This window comes from Homo sapiens, chromosome 9, assembly GCF_000001405.40.
Source record: "Homo sapiens chromosome 9, GRCh38.p14 Primary Assembly".
NCBI lineage: Eukaryota > Metazoa > Chordata > Mammalia > Primates > Hominidae > Homo > Homo sapiens.
Genome location: NC_000009.12, coordinates 112,858,938 through 112,875,163, shown reverse-complemented (window position 1 = coordinate 112,875,163; position 16,226 = coordinate 112,858,938). Strand labels below are relative to the sequence as shown.

General features: G+C 46.3%; 1 protein-coding gene across 12 annotated transcripts in view, besides 2 other annotated features; it reads right to left on the bottom strand.

Moving 5' to 3' along the window:
- Positions 1 to 16,226, bottom strand: part of SNX30 (sorting nexin family member 30) — a 136,047-nt gene that overhangs the window by 10,606 nt on the left and 109,215 nt on the right. For 10 of the 12 annotated variants that reach the window (XR_007061307.1, XR_007061301.1, XR_007061302.1 and 7 more), the window contains one exon: positions 10,765 to 10,917. Coding sequence is in view for 3 of the 12 variants with exons in the window: in XM_047423393.1 (XP_047279349.1) it covers positions 10,765 to 10,917 (153 nt within the window). In the remaining 9 variants the exon portion in view is untranslated. Of the gene's footprint in view, positions 1 to 176; positions 6,381 to 10,764; positions 10,918 to 16,226 lie in introns of those variants that run through there. The other 2 variants (NM_001012994.2, XM_047423395.1) reach the window with 1 other exon arrangement.
- Positions 5,738 to 5,887: an enhancer, noted in NCBI's record as "active region_28831". NCBI's record gives its function as "activates an Ori minimal core promoter by ATAC-STARR-seq in GM12878 lymphoblastoid cells {active_cell/tissue: GM12878}" and the evidence as "EXISTENCE:reporter gene assay evidence [ECO:0000049][PMID:35858748]".
- Positions 7,948 to 8,449: an enhancer, noted in NCBI's record as "H3K27ac hESC enhancer chr9:115628995-115629496 (GRCh37/hg19 assembly coordinates)". NCBI's record gives its function as "activates a minimal SCP1, AML or CMV promoter by ChIP-STARR-seq in naive H9 embryonic stem cells {active_cell/tissue: H9 hESC(naive)}" and the evidence as "EXISTENCE:reporter gene assay evidence [ECO:0000049][PMID:30033119]".

The window sequence follows — 16,226 nt, the reverse complement described above, 5'->3', positions numbered from 1 at the left end:
AAGAAGTGAAGAAGAATAAAAATAGTTCAATTATATATATTTTTTCCTGTCGCTCTGTATGTCTTGATTCTTACAGGCAAACTGAAAACTTGTAAAGAGAAAATAAGAAAACAGAAAAATAGGCACACATGTTTTTCTGCCTTACAAAAAGGTACAAATGAGGACATGACTCCAGATAAAGAAAGCATCTTTTATGGGTTTATTGGTCCTTTAAGTTAATTGAAGTAAAGAAACTTTAAATTTACAAGCTAATATTTATCAAGCAATACAAATTCTTTTGTTTACCTCAAAATGTAATACTAATTCCATAGTAAACAACAATTTTTTTATACACAGATATATGAAAAAAGTGGACAAAAACCTCGTGCCAGCATCAAAAAGTCAACAAAAAAACGATTCTTTTTCCATTTTACAATCTCTGGTTTCCATAACAAACAAAAAAAAGGGTGACATTCTTTTTAAAGTTTGGTAGCTTCATGAAACAAAGACTTCCATCTGTAAATAAATCACTTTCTTATCAACACACTCTCTCAAGCACTTTTTTTATCACAGCTTTTGTTTTGGCATAATGGCAGCATGGAGAGAAGGTAACATTTACACGGTGGACTACATCAATACCTCAGAAGGTTTTTATTTTAAAATTTTAAACGTAAAGAATGACTTTTAAAAATAAGATGACAGTCCATAATGTGGACATGTCCAAAGCCGAAGTTTTTAATCTCTTCTTTAACAGTTAAAATACAAGTTAGAAAGTTTGCTGGCAGTTTATTTCACAGGAATATATCAGATGGACATCATCTCTCAATGCACTCCCAACTCACAGCAATGAAGGGAACAGGCACACAGAAATACAACAGACAGGGAATCCACCAGACTTCATCCAAACTTCAGGGGTGTCTAGGCCAAAAGCGCCTTTAAGAGATGCTGGTTTGTTATTGGATAAAGGCCGAGATGACAGAGCCACTGCTTCATCACACTGACTCACATTTTGGTTTGCAATCCACTTTCCTCTCTCCTCATTTCCACATGGAGGAAAAAAAGTGATTTTCCTTTCCTCCTCCCAGTAACATTTCTGACTGAAGTGTTGGTCTAAGACTGCGAACAATCAATCCTGTCCAACAGGGGTGTTGCTGGGTGTCACCTACTAGGACCAGCCTACAGAGAGCCCAGAACCACCTGGTGTGGGAGTGCTGCTGCTGACAGAGAATATGCAATGCTCCTCGCCACTGGTGTTAACACTAAAGGCTCTGCTAAAATGGACTAAATTACATGAGTCAACATCATGTTTTCTGTTTTTGGCATTTCAACCCATAGAGAATTTCTATCTGAAACAAGCTGCTCTGAGGCTTGAAGATACCCCCCAGTATCTTCAAAAGCTGTTCTGCAGAATCAGGAGTAACATTTAATACTGTTGTCATCTATAGCATTCTTTGTTTCTACGTGATTTGTCAATGCCGATACTATATCCTCTAAAATCAAAAGTATGCCAAAAGGCACTAATCTTTCACACTTAAAAAAAAAAAAAAGGTTTTGTGGTCCCTGTGTTTCCTTACATTATCAAAAATATCATTTGGCAAAAGCAGTCCTTAGTTTTCCCCTCCCCAAAGCCAACCCTAGTGATGGCCCTCACTTTCTTGCTTGTTTCTTTAGGGGGCCTGAGGACTGACTATGTTAGATCTCTATATTATTGAAGCTGAACAACTGATTACATTTCTAAAACTCTTTCTACCCAGGACTTTTAAAACACTAGGTGAAGAAGAATAAGGCATATTAGTAGGTACGGACAAATTCTCAAAAAAGTAGAGTTGGGCTTTGAAAAGTCTGTGGCATTTTTTTAAATTCTGGATTTGTTGATTTTCAAGTGCTAAATACACAGAATGTTTATATAGGAGACAAATATCTTATTGGTTTGTTATTTTTTTAAAGCACTTATTTACAGACTCTCTGTAGTAGTAAAAACTACCTGGAAAACATATTTTTCTGCCACACAGAAAGGGTTAGACAGTCATACTCAGGATGTATCTCAAATTATGATGAAGAAAGAACAGTCTAATCCCCTGCAACAAAGCCCCCACCCCAACCTTTCTAACACAGACAACTTACACACACTCTGATACATGTAACTGTGAGACCAGGCATCTCTCAAACAAAAAGCTGACAATCTACAGGGTGGGTTGGTGAAAAAATGGATTCCTGGTTTATTCACTGAATTGAAAAGATCACAAGGCAGAACAAGGCCGAAGAGAACAATTCCAACACACCCAACGCAAGCTGTGAGGCTGGCCCAGGAGAGAACATTTTCCTCAAATTTACTGATACAGGCCTCCTGCCATCTGACAGACAAGACACAAGAAATGAGAGGGTGTGTCCATCTGCTGCCATCTTGAAGGCTTTTGGAAGTGAGACAGGAAACCCAAGCTCCCAACCTAAGTTTGTAAATGAGGGTGGCCAAAGCAGGGTTGCCCCAGCCCTATAATTGGATCACCCAGTTTCCACAGGTCCTTAAAGTAGGTGTCTGGGAAGGTGGAGTCCAGACTGGTATGCCCTGTCCTGACCACAGGCAGCCCATCTTCTGAGAAGAATCACCCTCAGTGCAGCCAGCAACCCATCTGGCCAGACTGGAACCCAGTTCTAACCCACCCCAAGACCCAAGGAGAAGAGGCTGACATAGGCCTTGGAGGTTGCTCTTGACTTCCCTCTTCCTCCTCTCTCACCAGCTCAAGAGAGAACGTAAAGAATGACTGTCCCGCAGTCCAATGAATGGTGTCAAAACAGAGCCCAATGCCTGTGATTTCAAAGCTAACGATGGCAGGACCAAGTCACACAGTAACTCTGGATGTTCCTCGGGCTGCCATCCCAAAATTCCACTTGCAGACTGCCACATGGTCATCGTGCCCTCCTCTAAAGCAGAACTTCCTGTTATTTGATCACAAAAGGCAGCCTCACAAGAAGTGAGCAGCAGGTGTGCATTCATTCAACTTCCCCATGTGGAGTGGGAACTGGGAAAACCATTCAAATCAACAACATCTAGAGCACACTCTGGGTGGGGCTGAAATCTGGCATGAAAACAGACTTAGCTTACAGTCACCATGATCTCCAGGTCATGCTGGTTTATTTCAACTAAAGAAAGGTGTCTGGTGAGTTGAAGGAATGACGTGGTGGAATATGGAGCCAATCATCTCCATAATCACACTTTAAGGTGAACAGGATTCATTATAAAACTTTTATTAAAGGATAAAACCCAATGCTAAGCCTGGCTGGGTGGTATGTTCCCTCCCCATTGAGGAGCAGTGGTTCCTCGCTCTGAGCAGAACAGCCTAGAATGTTCGTGTAGATCTACCACATTAGTAAGAAAAAGCAGTGCCCATGCTTGCTACAAATCACAAGGCTCTCTTAAACATCATTTGCGTCTCTAAAATCTGCTCAGTTCCTAGGACTCCTCTCTTCTGTCTTCCTCTGGATTTTTAACCCGGGCGAATGAAATCTCCCACTTTCCAGGCCTGGGGCGGCTGCTAGGGAGGGCCTTGTATTCCACTGCCATGTATTCAAGCCTCAAAACCTATGTCTGTCTGCTTGAGGTAAAGTAAATAATAATAATAATAAATACTTAAGAGAGGAGTACTGATCTCAGGGCCACAATTTTGTGAAGTCAAGAAGTGTGAGGTGATGAGACCTCTACAAGGCAGTCTTTGGCACAGAAGCCTCCGTGTGACACTTCTAGGGAATATCTCTTTTGTGCTTGGTCAAAACGAAGAGGCAAATGGTTGGGACTGCTGGCCCTCAGAGGCCCAGGGGAGCCTGCTTCACCACCTAACGTCCCCTTCCTTCTGGGCCAGCCTCCTCACCTCATGAGACACCAGCCTGGAGGCTGGGAAGGAATCCTTTCTCTGGAAGGACTATTTCTCCCAGAAAATCTGTAATGTACACTGGACTTCCTGGCTCTGTTATCAATAACATGCCAGGAGGACATAAAGTTTGCCTTGTTCCAGGTCTTTCTGATATCTTACAGCACAGGGCATCACATGGGGACCAAGCAGAGCAAGCCCAAATCCCACGGTGCCTGCCTCCCTTCAGAGCCAGCCATCTGCCTCTCACTAGGAGAGGGAGTGACCGCGTGCGTCCCACGCCCCTTCCCACATCTCCCAGTGAGGAACCTGGTAAATTTTTTCAAGTGCTGCCTTCTTTCCCAACTAACCATTACACAGGAATGTTTCTGGGTTTTGGCAACTAGCAGATAGTCAGATTTCATTTTCCTGTAACTCCAGTTTTTTCCAAACATTCATTACACTGGACATTTGTAAAGCATACCTTCCCCAAGGTAAAGCTTCCTATGTTCCCAAAGATGAGCATTTGCTGCTGGGCTGGTCTGGTGCCTTCTGCCAAATATCAGCAGAGGGCTGTCAGCTCGCCATTAGACACACATCCTGATTCTCCCAGCACAGTGTCAGGTCAGACCCAGGCGTCCATACCCACGTCAACACGATGGCTTAGAGGTAGAATAAAGCATGCAATCACTCGGGGGTACATGGGTTGTTCTTACCTGTCCGCATCAATGAGTCATTTCTAACTGTACCAAACTGAAAATTCACATCAAAGGACTTGAGAATGGCACAAATAGGGTTTAACACTACAGGCAAGTACCAATTGATTTAAACATTATCATTTAAACTGCAACATTGTCAAACACAATGAAACAGAACCAAGCCGTCCTATGCTGTCCAACTGCGGCATCAACAGCACCACAGCCTTGGCTGATGCGAGGATGACCTGCAGTTAAAAGTGGGCTTAAGTGACCTTGACGTGCTGCCCGCTGACCAGTATTTCCAGGTGAACTTGCATCTGAAGCAGCGCCTTAACACAGCTGTTTCATTAAAAATAAACAACAAAAAAACTACTGCTTATTTGAGGCTCAGATTCGTAGTTTTACAGGGATGAGCCACAGATGAAAGAACACAAACATGACATGTAGCTTCATTTCAGCAGAAAAAAAAAAGAGTTGGAAGACAGATCCTTGGTGACTGTTTGCTTTGTGATCTGAAAAGTAAACCTGGTCATTGTCTGAAATGCAGCCTGTAACCACACTCAGCAGTCCCCAGGAATCTGGCTGCACACTGAGGAGACTTTAGCTTAGCTGGACACAAAGGGCTCGCTGTTGCATTTGTCATTTTCGAGGCCCGTCCAGGTACTGATTTTCCTTCCTGACCAGGAAATGTTAAGGGTTAAAGCACTTTATGTAGAACATTCACACTGCATTGACAAATTTCGACTGTATCATAACAACATGACATACCAGCCCTCTCACCAAAAGCTCGCCCAGACATTCAGAGGACACAGGAGGAAATATTAAAGTAGGTATTTTTGGTGAGGTAAAGGCAAATTGCACAAAGCTGACACTGGGGGTGGAGCTTGGTATATGCCCACTGATCTCAACAATGGGGAGCTACTCTGACTTCAAGACAATAGATATTCCCTAACAGGTCTAATCCCTGCTCTGATGACAGTGAACAAGCAAAACACTGAAGACCTTCACAGAAAAAAAAAAAAAACCAGCACTTTGTTTTTTTCATTTTACACAAAAAGTTTCCAATCTGTTGCATTCTAGTGTCAGAAACAAGCTTGGGGAGCATTCCCCTGAGCTTCCCAAAGGCATTGCAGGAGGACAAGGACGCTGGCTTGCTCACTCAAGCATGGACGCACATTGACATTGATTTAAATGTCCCTATGTGAAACAGAAACAGTAAGACGGTATCACTCATCACAAGCAGGCAGCAGGCCACACTCACAGCTACAGGTACTGTACGTTAAGGACTTGCCAGGGAGGCACCAATGCCTCCTAGGCCAAGACGAGTCAATGCCCACAGAGGCCAATTCCAGAGGGGCCAGGTTTCCACAGAAAGCAGCAGCTGCCTTCTGTTCCTGCCTCCTCCTCATCCTTGAAAAGCAGGCCCCGGGTTCTCTCCCACAACTGGCAACTCAGCTGTCCCTAAAGAGGAAACTGTCATGAAATGTCAGAGCGTCAGCTGCAGGTTGTCTTGTCCCTTGGTTTCAAATTTTCGTAGTGCTTCACTGAACAGATGCCTTCACAACATGGAGGTATGCTGCTCTTGCTGAGAGATATTCTAGCCTCACAGACTCCACCATGGAATAAATACTAATTGAAAACCACTGTGGGGTGAAAGGTGGGGGAGGGAAAAATACACAAAGGAGAGATGTTTCTGTGGTTGTTTTCCCAGCACTGCGTCTCTGGCACTGCAGGGACATTCCGGTATAGGGTGCCAGGCCCTGTGTAGGTAGAAGAGTCTCCGTCCCAAGAAAGAACTTTACTTGGCCTCTTGTTTCTCCTGCAGTAGTGGAATAATCGACTCCCACGCCATGAGGCACTGGAACGACAACATACACACACAGTATCAGCTTTGAGTTTCCGATTTCGGGTCAGCTTCAATTCTGCTCTGACCTACCCTTTCGTTGTCGATCCTGCTGGGTTACCTTTGTCTAATGATGCCTGCATGTGTCATCCATAACTATTACAAACGGGGAGGTAACAGGTGTTTGTTTTGAATGCGTCACCCCATCTTTATGAAAGACAGCAATATCTCTGCAAGGCTTAAATGCATTCATGTTAGTCTGTAAAGCTCAGATCCAGTGAATGGAAATGGATTTACTGGAGGAAGTTCTTTTCCTTTCAAAAAAGCAGAAAAAAGCCCAAGCAGGAAACCCCTGAAGAGTCCCTAGAATCTCGGCAGGGATGGAGACACTGCTCCAGGTGTGGGTGGCGCTTATGCAGGATGGAAATCATAGTTGGAGCAGGCCAGGCACCTGACTTGGAGCGGGTGGAAAGCCCACTCTTCCTCACCAACCTCAAGTTTGCTTGTTTGGGCCACACCTGAATCTCTCAAAAGGGAATATGGAAGAGGGAAGCCAGTGTTTATTGAGTTTTATTATGTCCAAACATGGTGACATACTTTACATTAGTTATCACCAGTCCTCACAGCTCCTCTATGAAGGAGAATTATTACTCGACACATACACACTGATTTCATGGATGGGGAAGACAAGACTCAGGTTAAATAACTGGCCCAGACACACAGCTTGTCCATGGTAGAGCTCATGGTTCCCACGCTGATGTTCTCTCCACTACACCAACCTCTTTTCATCCCAGATCCTTGTGAAAGGCCAAGAACTCAGAACACTCTGGCATTGTCCTCTGAGAGCAGAAATGATTCGCCCTTTGGAAAGTCTCTTGCATAAAGAGGGCAAGTTAATCACATAAGGCTTCTCAGTAGCAGCCCCAGGGGTGGAGGAGGACTTTGTACTGAGTCATTTAGGGAGGAGTTCTGAGGAGGTGGGAGGAGTTTTGGGGAAGTGGAGAGGGGTTCTGAGAAGGCAGGAGGGGTTTGGGGGAGGTGGGGAGAGGTTCTGAAGAGGTGGGGAGGAGTTCTGAGGGGGTGGGAGAGGTGTGAGGAGCGGGAGTTCTGAAGAGGTGGGAGAAATTGTGAGAAGGTGAAAGGAGTTCTGAGGAGGCGGGAGGAGTTCTGAGGAGGTGGGAGGAGCTCTGAAGAGGAATCCTGAGGAGCCAGGAGGAATTCTGAGGAAGTGAAAGGAGTTCTGAGGAGGAAGGAGGAATTCTGAGGAGGTGGGAGGAGTTCTGAGGAAGGAGGAGGAGTTCTGAGGAGGGAGGAGGAATACTGAGGTGGGAGGAGTTCTGAGGATGGAGGAGGAGTTCTGAGGAAGGAGGAGGAGTTCTGAGGAGGGAGGAGGAATTCTGAGGAGGTGGGAAGAGTTCTGAGGAGGGAGGAGGAATTCTGAGGAGGTGGGAAGAGTTCTGAGGAGGGAGGAGGAATTCTGAGGAGGTGGGAGGAGTTCTGAGGAGGGAGGAGGAATCCTGAGGAGGCAGGAGTTCTGAGGAGGGAGGAAAAATCCTGAGGAGGCAGGAGTTCTGAGGAGGGAGGAGGAATCCTGAGGAGGCAGGAGTTGTGAGGAGGGAGGAGGAATCCTGAGAAGGAATCCTGAGGTAGGAGGAGTTCCGAGGGGGTGGGGAGTTCTGAGGAGGTGGGAGGAGTTCTGAGGAGGGAGAAGGAATTCTGAGGAGGTGGGAATAGTTCTGAGGAGGGAGAAAGAATTCTGAGGAGGTGGGAGGAATTCTGAGGAGGGGGGAGGAGTTCTGAGGAGGGAGAAGGAATTCTGAGGAAGGAGGAGGAGTTCTGAGGAGGGAGGAGGAATTCTGAGGAGGTGGGAGGAGTTCTGAGGAGGCAGGAGGAATTCTGAGGAGGGAGGAGGAGTTCTGAGGAGGTGGGAGGAGTTCTGAGGAGGTGGGAGGAGTTCTGAGGAGGTGGGAGGAATTCTAATGGGGGGAGTTCTGAGGAGGGGGAGGAATTCTGAGGAGGTAGGAGGAGTTCTGAGGAGGCAGGAGGAGTTCTGAGGATGTGGGAGGAGTTCTGAGGAGGTGGGAGGAATTCCCAGGAGGTGGGAGAAGTTCTGAGGAGGGAGGAGGAGAGAGGCATCCTAGGTCAAGCCAGAAAGAAGAGTGGTGAAATTGCTTCCTGATTCCTCCTTGGTGACTCTGAGGTTAGAGAGGAAGCTAAACTCTGAAGCCCACCTTATATACGGAAGATGATCTGGGGTCTGTGGCATTCCAGGTCCTGCTCTCTCCCTAGGCCATCACTTCAGATCTGCAATGGACTTTGTATGTCAGCCATGATAAACCAAGGCCATACCAGTTTTCTATTTGGTCCTCAAATGTACCAAACTCTTTCCTGCCCCAGGGACTTTGCGTATGTTGTCTCCTATACCTGGAATATATGTTTTCCAAGCCTCTGTCTCTGAGACTCGGATGAAATGTCATTTCCTCAGACTGGCCTTTCCTGACCACTCCACTTGCCCCTCCCACCCTTAGTCTGCATTATGCCCCCTAGTATTTTCTCCCCCAGTTTCCCGTTCTTTTCCTTATCTCACTCTGAAGCTGTGGGCTCCTTTGATGAACACATACCCTCCACAGGGCAGGAATCCTGCTGTTTATCAATTTGGTACACACTGCCCCTTGCACACAGCAAGTGCACAAAAAGCATTTGTTAAATATGTATAGAAGCAATACCAGGCCCCAAGACAGTGGCCCTGCCTGTGATATAGTGGGAAGACAGATAAACACGTACTTAAGACCAGGGTTGGGTCCTCCTGGGACCAGGACTTTAGGAACGCTGGGATTAATTACCAAAGGGAGCAACAGAGACATTTGACATAGTTGGTTTTGTAGTAGTAGGAAGGCCGCTGAACAGCAGAGGGAAGGTGTGGGAGTTACAGAAGAAAGGAACTCTGGGTAACAGACTGCACTACTGCACTCCAACCTGGGTAACAGAGTTTTTGACCCTATCGCAATATATATATATATATACATACATACATACATACACACACACACACACTCACTCATGTGTGTATGTATGTATGTATATGTGTGTATATATATGTGTGTATACGTGTGTGTGTGTGTGCATACATACATACATATATATATATATATATATATATATATATATATATATGGCGTGACAGGATCAAAAAACTCTGTTACCCAGGTTGGAGTACAGTAGTGCACAATCATGACTCACTGTAGCCTTGAACTCCTGGCTCAAGCCATCCTCCTGCCACAGCCTCCCGAGTAGCTGGAACTATAGGCACACGCCACCACACCTGGCTCATTTTGTATCTTTTGTAACGACAGTCCCACTACATTGCCTAGGCTGGTCTTGAGCTGGGCTCAAGTGATCCTCCCACCTCGGACTCTTCAAGTGCTGGGATTACGGGCGTGAGCCACTGCACCTGGCCTCGCACTGGTTTGCTGGACATACGAATCAAGCAAACCTTGATTGAGGGGACTGGGCTGTAGCCTGATAAGAGTCATCTCTATGTGTGTGTGGTGTGTGTATGGTGTGTGTGGGGGTTGTGTGTGAGGGTTGTGTGAGGTATGTGGGTGTGGTGTGTGGGTGTCGTGTGTGGGGGGGTTGTGTGTGGGGTGTGTATGTGGGGTGTATGTGTAGGGGGTGTGTGGTGTGCATGTAGTATGGGGGGTGTGTGGTGTATGTGTGGTGTGTGTGTAGTGTGGGGGGGTGTGGTGTGTGTGTAGTGTGTGTGTGGGGTGTGGTGGTGGTAGTGGGGTGTGTGGGTGTGTGTGTGTGTGCACGCGCATGTGCGTGCGCTGCTTAACCTGGTCAAGGGGATCCATGAGTAAAAGTTTTTAATAGAATTGCTTTCCTTTGTAATCCTACATCCCTTTATTTTACGTATTTAAAATCAATATTTTGAAGTCTATTTAAAAAACAAATGCACAGTATTTTGGTGAGGGGTCTATAGGCTTCACCAGATGACCAAAGGGGTTCACTGCACAACCAAACTGAAGGGACCCTGTGTACAGAACCCCAACACAGAGTAAAGTAACCCCAAAGCCTCCATTCGGTGGCAGCATCACTGTGCTGAAGGTCTGACTGGCTCTGGGAAGCAACCAGTGCCAGGCCCAGAAAGCATGGAAGACGAATGGGCTGCTTCCCCAGCAGCATGTGCAAGGGAAACCCCTGTGAGCACCCCCTCTGCTGCCAAACCCAGCACTGCAGCCACATGGTTGGGCAAGGGCATGAAGCGGGAGCCAAGACTAAGCAGCTAAAATAAGGGAAGGAGATGAGACTAGCAGGATTCCCAGCTTGTGGATTTCTGGTAGGCCCATGTGAAAGGCTCTGGCCATTAGAAACCAGTCTTGTTGGGCACACTCATTACCTTCTCATAATACTGGATGTTCTTGTCAGCCATCCCCATGAGTAGCTGCCGGAAGTCCTGCCTCTTGTTGTTCTGCCACCTCTCCATGTCAGCTTTCAGGTCAGCATTGAAACACTCCATCCGATCCTGACATTTCTCGACGTCCGCCGGTACCTGGAAAAGGGAGGCACACATGGGTGCCCTGCACACAAAACTGGCATCTCTTGCCTTGAGCTCCTCTGAGCACACATTTGTCAAAGGCCAAAGCCCTACATTAAAATGCTATCAACACGCTCCCTCCTCTGGAGGCATTTATTTGAAAGCAAAACCTTGGGTTTTCAGGTCTAAGGAGGAGCTCTGAAAAGGGGCTCTCCTAACCCAGATCTTCAAACCCATCCAAACACAACAGAGACTCGTGGGGGAAACACCCCCATTTACACACAGGAAGAAGAAACATTGCAATTCAGACTCATATGTCTTTGGTTCCTTTTAGGATTTACTCATCCACACTTGAAAGTGTGTGCAGACTTTGCAAATATACAGCATTTGTATTGCCCTGCTATTCTCCTGTGTCCCATATTGGAACTAGAGAAGAGGTAGGTTCTCCCAGATCACATGAACTATTCCATTGCTGTGACATTTGATGATGCCTTTCCTCATTAATCAGAGAATTGCAATAAGACAACTACTGGCCAGCTGCCTCCTCTGAACCCCACATCATAAATAAACTGGAGGCTTGTTTATGCTTTTCCCAATAGCAGATACTTTTAAATGGAGAGTTAGAGAAGTCTGAGAAAACAGGAGGAAAGTTACTTATGCATGTCAAAAAAATTTGAAATTCAAAGAAGAAATATACAGCAGGCTATTTCAAGTTTTTCTTAAAGAGGTTTAGAAGACTTTCTCAAAAGGGAACTATGTCACTTGAAGTTTCACAACTTTCACTTTGCTTTGGTGAATTTCACCATCCTGTGCAGCTGGAGTTTGGGCTTTGTGGCTGCAGCGCTTCCCAAAGCTGGCTTCTCTCTCCTAACTCAAGCACTTCACTGAGCCCTGATGGCGGCCAGGGAGCCGACAGGCCCAAAGCCAGGTCAAACCCCCGACCTGCCAAATGTATCCCAACCACAAGTGAGGCCTTTTATGTTTGGTGTGCTGGGGCCCATGAACCAAACTGTCTCCAAGCCATGGCTCACCCCTGGGAGTCCACTTCCACCAATCGAGGAGGTTTATACCCAAGCCTCGTGGACAAGGAGCTGACCCAGAATGATGCCAATGAGAAAGACAGGCCTGAGGGAGCTGGACACCTTCAGGGTACTCAGCCATCTTCTCCACAGACCACGTGGAGATGGTTGTAGAACACAGGAGTCAGGGAAGAGACATGGCCAAGGCAAGTGAATTTGAATGTGCCTGACACGGGAACTAGACATGGGTGAAACCAGGATGAGCTGGAGAGAGAGATAACTAGACACTCTGGAAATTTAAAAGCAAGGAATTTTTCTGTTAAGATGGGGAAAGAGGCCTTCTTCAAAGCACATAAGCTTCTGGAAGAGGGAAAAAAAAAATACTGGGCTGAGTGCAGTGGTTCATGCCTCCCAGCACTTTGGGAGGCCAAGGCAGAAGATCACTGGAGGTCAGGAATTTGAGACCAGCCTGGGCAACATAGTAAGACCCCCATCTCTACAATAAGTAGGATGTGGTGGCGCTATGTTGTCCAGGCTGGTCTCGAACTCCTGGCCTCCAGTGATCCTCCCACCTCGGTCCCCCAAAGCACTGGAATTACAGGTTTGAGCCACCATACCAGGTCAGAGACTGACTTTTTCTTCTGATGCCATGATTTAAGTCTCTTTTGCCTCCTCCCAAGACCACCCATTACTATTGGTTACCTCAGGAAAAACTGAAATAAAAACCAGAGTATCCCAGTCTTGCCTCTCCAGAGTCACTCCAGGAATCAGCCTCAATGGAAAGATGCCCAGCGAGCCAGTGTCTCTGGCTGGCCTCACCTCCCCACAGGCACAGGCCAGTTCCCTTACCCGTCTCCTGGCCACTGCTCACACTTGCATTGGGGTGAGGGTGCCTATGAGCAACTTCCTGTTTGCTTAACGAAACTTCTGCTGTGAGGAGAAAATGGAAAGCCCTGGAAAGAGAACCTCACCAGGACACGTGGAGAGGAGGGCAGCCAGGGTCTCTGAATCAGGACTGTTCACAGAGGAAAGATTCCCAGGTTTAAAGATTCCCAGGTGTGTTCTGGAGATGGGAACTCTGACTGACCCAGAAAAATCAGGGTCTAAACCACGGCTGTGGGTTTTAGGACTGCCTGAGCCTCGGTCTGGGAAATATTTGGCTTCTCAGTTTCACAACACATTCTGTGCTTGGCACTGAGGAATACAAAAGTGCTTGGGTCTCAACAGACAAATCTTGTCTCCCGTAACCTACAGTCTAGTTGGGAAGAAACAGGAACATGCCTAGACACTGAGGCAAGATATCGTAAGTGTTGTCGCTTCCCCTGCAGCCCCCGTGATAAGCACGCTGAGGAGGATGGAGGGGGCGGCCAACCTGGGAAGATCGGGCCTCATGGAGGAAACAGCACTGAGGCGGCTCTTTAAAGATGACAGATGTGAGATGTTTGACCACTTGGAAGGCACTCCAGAGTGGCGGTACACACAAGGGACAGAGGAGAGAAGACACCAGGACCCACCGCAGGAATTGTGCACAGGCCACAGGGCCCACAGCGGCACGGAGAGGGAACTGCAGCTCGCAAGACTGGCAGAGGGTGGCAGGGGATGAGGAACCTGAGGCTCGTCCCAAAGTCCTGCTTTCCTGAGGCCCAGTTAACTCATGCCCACTCTTGGAGAATAGAAAAAGCCCCACACTTCCTCCAGCTGCAGTGGACAGCTCTAGAACCAAACTTCCAGAGCTTAGCTTGCACACCCCACCTGCCACTTACCAGGTGTGTGGCCTGGGACCTGGCCTCAGCTTCTCTGTCTGGCTAATAATATCCTCCGCCTCACTAGGCTGTCATGAGGCCAGACAGGCTAATATGTGTTAAGTGCTTTACAGCGTCCTAATTAGGAAGGGGGAGTTGGGCTGACAGGACCAAGGGAAAGCAAAAAGAGAAGGCAGATTAAGCTATACTTCTGCTTTTCTTCATGGTCCAGGACACATAGCCTTCCTGCACAAATATTAATAACACAATCTTCCTGCACCCAGCTATCACCAGACCCTCAGTTAATAGAAAAATGCAAGTTTGCTCACTGCGACCTTGGAGTTATCAGCACTGCATGAAGCCCTCTTCAGTACACAGCACGAGCACCATTCTATGAAATCCCCAGCAAGCCTTTGTTTCTGGGCAGTCAGCTCCCTTCCTGCTGATCTGCCTGTTGCACTCTTGCAATGTATTTTCCTACTTTTTCTAATAAATCTGTTTTTCTTTACCTATAATTGTCTTGGTAAATTCTTCTTACCCCTGCAACACTGGTTCCAGAGAGTCATTGCACACCTGTGACACACTTGTGCCTGGCATATAGTAAGTGCTCAATAAACATTTGTTAGCTCATATCAGTATCAATATTATAATTTGCTGTTCACAAAAGATAATCTATCCCTTGCACAGCTCCTCAAGCTTTATTCCATGTGTTATAAAACAGGTTTTCATCTTCCAAATACAAACTATATTATTATATGTTCTCCCAAACATTATGCCACCCTTTGCCAATGCTACTCCACCCTGAGATTTCATTAGACACCAGAGATGAATCATCTCCAAACTACATATTAGCATGAGATTGCACTGGGCATCCTGGAACTGGGGTTGTGGCTCTAACACCAGAAGGGAGAGGATGGAGTAAACCAACCTGGTGGAGACAGAACTGACAGATTTGGCAACTGGCTGCCCATGAGAAATAAAATACAGGGAGTCCGAGAGAAGCCTGAAGTTTCTAGTCTGGATGACTAGGGTGGCACTAATGCCACCAAAGGCTCAGAATGAAGGACAGGTCCACAGATCACAGAAAGGAGGGAGTTGCAGCCAGGGGAAGAGTGATGCCTCCCTCCACAAAGCGGGGTGAGATAACAAGAAAACCAAACACAGCTCTTTTATAAAGGCTTATGGAAAAGAATACACAACCAAATTTAAAAATGAGCAAAGGACTTAAACGTATCTCCAAAGAAGATAAACAGTCAGCTGGGCGCAGTGGCTCACGCCTGTAATCCCAGCACTTTGGGAGCCTGAGGCGGGCAGATCACAAGGTCAAGAGATCGAGACCACCCTGGCCAACACGGTGAAACCCTGTCTGTACTGAAAATACAATAAAATTAGCTGGGCATGGTGGTGTGCTCCTGTAGTCTCAACTACTTAGGAGGCTGAGGCAGGAGAATTGCTTGATCCAGGGAGGTGGAGGTTGCAGTGAGCCGAGATCACGCCACTGCACTCCAGCCTGGCGACAGAGCGAGACTCCATCTCAAAAAAATAAAAATAAAGAAGATAAACAGTCAACAAGGACATGAAAAGATGCTCAACATCATAATCACTAGTGAAATGCTAATCAAAGCCACAGTGAGATAGCACCTCACACTCATCAGGATGGCTACTATTAAAAAAAATAACAAAAACAGAAAATAGGCCAGGTGCAGCGGCTCACACCTGTAATCCCAGCACTTCAGGAGGCCAAGGCAAGTGGATCACCTGAGGTCAGGAGTTCGAGACCAGCCTGGCTGGTCTCCGGGAGGCGGAGATTGCAGTGAGCCAAGATCACGCCACTGCACTCTAGCCTGGGCGACAGAGAAAGACTCTGTCTCAAAAAAATAGATAAGCGTTGGTAAGAACATAGGGAAACTAGAACCCTTGTACATTGTTGGTGGATTGTAAAACAGTATAGCTGCTATGGAAAACAGTATGGAGATTCCTCAAAAATTTTAAAATAGAACTACTATATGATCCTGCTGGATTCCACTTCTGAGTACATATCCAAAGAAATTGAAAGCAGGGTCTCAGAGATACTTGTATACACATGTTTATAGCAGCATTATTCACAGTAGCCCAAAGATGAAAGCAACACAGATGTCCACTGATGAATGGATAAACAAAATGTGGTATGTATATGTATGTGTATGTATGTATGTGTGTGTATGTCCCATATATATGGGATATTATTCAGCCTCAAAAAGGAAGGGAATTCTAACACATTACAACATGGATAAACCAAGGACATTACACTGAGTGAAATAAGCCAGTCACAGGATAAATATTATATTATTCTAGATACGAGGTATCTAGAATGGTCAAAGTCATAGAGACAGAAAGTAGAACAGGGGTTTCTAGAGGCCGGCAGGAGGGGGAATGGAGAGTTGTTTAATGGGTCAGAGTTTCAGTTCTGCAAGATGAAAAGAGTTCCAGATATCGATTGCACAACAATGTAAATGTGCTTAACACGACTAAGCTGTACACTTTTAAATGGTTAAGATGGCAAATTTTATATTCTGTATATTTT